This window comes from Homo sapiens, chromosome X, assembly GCF_000001405.40.
Source record: "Homo sapiens chromosome X, GRCh38.p14 Primary Assembly".
Lineage (NCBI taxonomy): Eukaryota > Metazoa > Chordata > Mammalia > Primates > Hominidae > Homo > Homo sapiens.
Window position 1 is genome coordinate 100,130,670 of NC_000023.11, and position 6,165 is coordinate 100,136,834.

Genomic DNA, 6,165 nt, shown 5'->3' on the forward strand with positions numbered 1-6,165 from the left:
ATCTTCCAATAATGGTTTTTACTTTTTTGACCTGCTTTTTTTAAAAAAACAAGGTGCACCTTTTATTCCCCCATTTCCACATGCAAGGGCTTTATTTTCATGATGGACTGAGTCTCTTCACAGTGTCATGCTTGACATAATCCTTGAAAAAATCTAATGTGACATGACAGATAACACAGCCACAAAAAGCCAAAAAGAAAATTTTAAAGTGATCTTCTTAAAACACAGACTGTAAACACACAACTATTTTCTTAAACCTAAAGCATCTCACAAGATGAGGGTCTAGCAGCCTTTGTAGGGTAAAATTAACTAGTTAATTGAAAAAAAATAGTAGCTTGATGAGTGCATACACTTCCTAATAGAACATACAAACAAAATCACTTTATTTAGACACGAAAAATGGTTGATTACAGACAATAAAATGTATAATTGGGTCAAACGGATGTGAAGTATATTTAGGTACCATGTGGGATATTTCTTCAGTCAAAAACAAACAGACTTGGGAAGGGTAGATCCACCAAGTCAATACCAAAAGCAGCTGCCTGTGTTACAAAATGGGTAGGGTACTATGAAATTCTAAAGTAAGAGCCCCCAAGCCCTATTTCATTAGGATGGACCCTGATCGTTTCAGTTTTCTATGGTGAATATAGTTCTTGAGTTTAGTTAGGCCTTGTAAAGAAGGCCCTGGGGTTGGGAGTGTGCCAACCTTCAGAAAGCATGGTCCTTAAGTTTTACCAAGTGAGAATAGATAAGTGGAAAGAAACAAGTCACACATCAGTACCATTGACAGTCATTATTCATGGATTCCACATTTGTGAATTTGCCTACTTGCTAAAATTTATTTGTAACCCCAAAATCAATATTCATGGAGATTTTGCAGTTATTCACAGACACATGCATGCATAAAACACTGAAAAATTTGCAACACACCCAGTCATGTTCCCTATGGTGTTTAAACAAAATGGCACCTGCCTTCTTGTTTTGGTGCTCATATTATAAACAAGTATCCAGTTCATGGTATACTTAATGTCACATTTCCTTTTTTTTTTCCTTTTTGCTTTTTCTTGGTGATTTTACTGTTTTAAATGAGCCCCAAGTGTAGTACTAAAATGCTGCCTAGTGTTTCTAACCTCAAGAAGGCTGTGATGTGCCTTACGGAGGAAATACATATATCAGATAAGCTTTATTCAGGCATGCATTATAGTACTATTGGCCACGAGTTCAATGTTGGTGAATCAACAATATATATTAAATAAAGTGTCTCTAAACACAAATACATATAACCAGTTAAATTTTGATCCACTGACAAAAATTCTGTGGTCAAAGGCTATAAGGACCTAACCCTGTATTCCTCCTAGAGGCAATGACTCAGTATTCACTAACTCTGTATTTGCAATAACATTAGAAAACATAACTATCATAAATGAAAATTGACTGCATTTTCCCATGTTCTCATCCTATCCAAGAAATGCCATAGGGAGGGGAGTGGCTGTAAAAGTTAGGAATTCACCATCACTCATCATCACTCATTCTTTATTGGTCAACCAAGTGAGAATGCTACTATAGCGACACATTGTGAGAATACTAATGATAAGGAAAATATGTAATAGCTAATTGATGAATGCTATCTAGCACATAACATTTGAATAGGAATACAAGAAGCTATGTCCCAATTCACTACCAAGAACCACTGGAAATCAACAGACTAAAAAATTGTTGGAGTCCTCACAGAAAAGGTAATAATTCATATTTCCACCAGCAAGAATAGAGAGATCTTGTAATATACAGATTACAGGTTAAAGTCTTTAGAAAGCTATTGCCTTAGTATTGTAAATTAGTCCATTAAGCACACTACTAAAGCTTAAAAGCAAAGTTCAGAAGTAACATGAATGCATGGCAGAACAAATTCCAAAACACTTTTAAAAAAAAAATAAAACAAAGTGTAGCACTCAGCAATATAAAGTTCACAAGGTCTGGCATACAATCAAAAATTGCCAAGCTTACAAAAAAGCACGGAAATATGACCCATGACCAAGAGAAAAATATCTATTGATAGAATAATATCCAGAACTGACAGACATTGTGAAATTAGCATACAAGATTTTTTAAATGATAATATAAATATTTTTCATATTTTCAAAAAGGTCAAGGAAATTGTGAATATAAGAAGGAGAAAAATAGAAAGTATTAAAATGCCAAATGGAAACTAAAAAGACAATAGACTTGATTGTACAGAAAATAAGATATAGCAGAAGAAATGATCAGTGAACTTGAAGACATGGCAATAGAAACTATAGAAAATAAAGAACAAAGAAAAAAGTCTAAAAAGATACACAGATCATCAGAGTCTTGTGTGACAATGTCAACCAGACTAACATAAGTGTAACTGGAGTCCCAGGAAAATGAGAGAAGGGGCAAAAAAAAATTTGAGAAAGTAGTGGCAAAAATATTTTCCAATTTGATGACAGTTATAAGTGTAATAAACCAAGAAACTCAAAAAATCCCAAGCAGAAGAAACATAAAGAAAACCCCAAGGCACAACATAATCAAATTGCTGAAAACCAGTGATAATTTAAAAAATCCAAAATGAAGGCAGAGGAAAGGAACACATTACATATAGCATAGCAGAGATAACAATTACATCACACTTCTATTCAGAAACCATGGAAGCCATAAAATAATAGAGACACATTCCCAAAACACTGAAAGAAAACAAAAAAAAAAAGTGTCAACCTAGAATTCTAACCTCAGAAATGATAGGTTTCAAAAAAAAAGCCAAATGATTTTTTTTTCAGAATAGCAAAAGTTGAAAAAAAACTTGCAGTAAAAGACATATTAAAGGAAATTCTTCAGCCAGAGGAAAATTATATTAAATAGTAATGTGTAGCCACTCAAACACTGAAGAGTGCCAGAAATGGTAATATGGATAAACATAAAATATATTTTATCATTTTAAATCTCTTTATTAATTAACTGTAAAAGCAAAAAAGTAATGATAATAATATTGTGAAGGTTGTAACATATATAAAAGTAAAATGTATAAAACAAGAGCATAAAATATTGGAGGAAAATAGAAGTATACCCTTGTAGGTTATTATGCTATACATATAATAATATAAGATTATTTGAAAAGGTATACTGTGAGATCATAAAATGCATATTTTAAAGACTTGGGAAATTACTGAAAAATATATCAAAGACATTAGCTAATAAGAGAAGAAGAGTGCATGGAATAAAATGTTTTAAAAATGCACAATCCAAAAAAAAGTCAAGAGAAGGTAAAAGGAAATAAAGAAGAAAAGGACAAATAGAAGAGTCAATTAAACCAAAATATACAAACTAAAGAAATAATAAAGATAGGAAATTAATGAAAGAGGACACAGAAAAAAGTAGAGAAAAATCAATTATACCAAAATCTGGTTCTTTGAAAGAAGCAATAAAATTGATATACTTCTACTAGCTTCAGCAAGAAAAAAGAGTGGGAAGGCACAAATTACCAATATCAGGAATTGAGAAGGGAACATCACAACATATTCCACAGATATTTAAAGGGATAATAAGTAACTCATTCCAAGTAACGTTAAATAAATACATGCCACTCTTTCTGTCCAGCTGATTACAAATATAAACCCAGACAGAATTCATGGACCAGCCATTTGAAGAGAGAAAATTAAATTACAACAGATTGGAGGATACCAGAATTTTAAGCAAAACAAAACCAGTGGTGATTTTACCAATTGTTCTGTTCTAGTATTTCGATCCTCAACTCAATGAAGTCTGAAACACAATAGTGAGTACTATGGTGCAAACAGAGAGACATCCAGGAGAAACCTGACTCAAGGAATAGGAAAGAGAACTGGTAAACCTCAAAGAAAGTGGAGAAAACCACTAGGATTTTTTTTCTCTTCATTTTTTCTGTTCTCTCCCATCCAAGCTTTCAAGTAGTCCTGTAGTGACAATGGCAAGAAAAACATCCTCTCCATTAGGTGGGAAGCTAAGAAATCAACAGGATGAGACCAAACTCCATTGCTGTTTTTTCTTCTCTCTCTCTCTCCTGTCCTCCCACACCTTATCCCCAGAAGCAGCACAATATTGGTGGTTTCTGACTGGAAGAATTTATAAAGAAGCACCAGGGAACCAGCAAGTACCGAAAAATAGAGCATGAGGAGCGTAGGAAAGAGAACCCATAAAGTTGTTAAGAACACCTGGGCACAGCCCTGACCTGCACACAGATGGATATTATCCTAATTAGCATAAGAAGACCTGGAGGAGGAGTAGCCAAGATGGCCGAACAGGAACAGCTCCGGTCTACAGCTCCCAGCGTGAGGGACGCAGAAGATGGGTGATTTCTGCATTTCCATCTGAGGTACCGGGTTCATCTCACTAGGGAGTGCCAGACAGTGGGCGCAGGTCAGTGGGTGCGCGCACTGTGCGCCAGCCGAAGCAGGGCCAGGCATTGCCTCACTTGGGAAGCGCAAGGGGTCACAGAGTTCCCTTTCTGAGTCAAAGAAAGGGGTGACGGATGGCACCTGGAAAATCGGGTCACTCCCACCCGAATACTGCGCTTTTCCGATGGGCTTAAAAAACGGCGCACCACGAGATTATATCCCGCACCTAGCTCGGAGGGTCCTACGCCCACGGAGTCTCGCTGATTGCTAGCACAGCAGTCTGAGATCAAACTGCAAGGTGGCAGCGAGGCTGGGGGAGGGATGCCCGCCATTGCCCAGGCTTGATTAGGTAAACAAAGCAGCCAGGAAGCTCGAACTGGGTGGAGCCCACCACAGCTCAAGGAGGCCTGCCTGCCTCTGTAGGCTCCACCTCTGGGGGCAGGGCACAGACAAACAAAAAGACAGCAGTAACCTCTGCAGACTTAAATGTCCCTGTCTGACAGCTTTGAAGAGAGCAGTGGTTCTCCCAGCATGCAGCTGGAGATCTGAGAACGGGCAGACTGCCTCTTCAAGTGGGTCCCTGACCCCTGACCCCCCAGCAGCCTAACTGGGAGGCACCCCCCAGCAGGGGCACACTGACACCTCACACGGCAAGGTACTCCAACAGACCTGCAGCTGAGGGTCCTCTCTGTTAGCAGGAAAAATAGCAAACAGAAAGGACATCCACACCAAAAACCCATCTGTACATCACCATCATCAAAGACCAAAAGTAGATAAAACCACAAAGGTGGGGAAAAAACAGAACAGAAAAACTGGAAACTCTAAAAAGCAGAGCGCCTCTCCTCCTCCAAAGGAACGCAGTTCCTCACCAGCAACGGAACAAAGCTGGATGGAGAATGACTTGGACGAGCTGAGAGAAGAAGGCTTCAGACGATCAAACTACTCTGAGCTACGGGAGGACATTCAAACCAAAGGCAAAGAAGTTGAAAACTTCGAAAGAAATTTAGAAGAATGTATAACTAGAATAACCAATACAGAGAAGTGCTTAAAGGAGTTGATGGAGCTGAAAACCAAGGCTCGAGAACTACGTGAAGAATGTAGAAGCCTCAGGAGCCGATGCGATCAACTGGAAGAAAGGGTATCAGCAATGGAAGATGAAATGAATGAAATGAAGTGAGAAGGGAAGTTTAGAGAAAAAAGAATAAAAAGAAATGAGCAAAGCCTCCAAGAAATATGGGACTATGTGAAAAGACCAAATCTACGTCTGATTGGTGTACCTGAAAGTGATGGGGAGAATGGAACCAAGTTGGAAAACACTCTGCAGGATATTACCCAGGAGAACTTCCCCAATCTAGCAAGGCAGGCCAACATTCAGATTCAGGAAATACAGAGAACGCCACAAAGATACTCCTCGAGAAGAGCAACTCCAAGACACATAATTGTCAGATTCACCAAAGTTGAAATGAAAGAAAAAATGTTAAGGGCAGCCAGAGAGAAAGGTCGGGTTACCCTCAAAGGGAAGCCCATCAGACTAACAGCGGATCTCTCGGCAGAAACCCTACAAGCCAGAAGAGAGTGGGGGCCAATATTCAACATTCTTAAAGAAAAGAATTTTCAACCCAGAATTTCATATCCAGCCAAACTAAGCTTCATAAGTGAAGGAGAAATAAAATACTTTACAGACAAGTAAATGCTGAGAGATTTTGTCACCACCAGGCCTGCCCTAAAAGAGCTCCTGAAGGAAGCACTAAACATGGAAAGGAACAACCGGTACCAG

The 6,165-nt window shown here is 38.3% G+C and overlaps 2 annotated features.

Moving 5' to 3' along the window:
• Positions 4,158 to 4,699: an enhancer, noted in NCBI's record as "H3K27ac-H3K4me1 hESC enhancer chrX:99389825-99390366 (GRCh37/hg19 assembly coordinates)". NCBI's record gives its function as "activates a minimal SCP1, AML or CMV promoter by ChIP-STARR-seq in naive and primed H9 embryonic stem cells {active_cell/tissue: H9 hESC(naive and primed)}" and the evidence as "EXISTENCE:reporter gene assay evidence [ECO:0000049][PMID:30033119]".
• Positions 4,700 to 5,240: an enhancer, noted in NCBI's record as "H3K27ac-H3K4me1 hESC enhancer chrX:99390367-99390907 (GRCh37/hg19 assembly coordinates)". NCBI's record gives its function as "activates a minimal SCP1, AML or CMV promoter by ChIP-STARR-seq in naive H9 embryonic stem cells {active_cell/tissue: H9 hESC(naive)}" and the evidence as "EXISTENCE:reporter gene assay evidence [ECO:0000049][PMID:30033119]".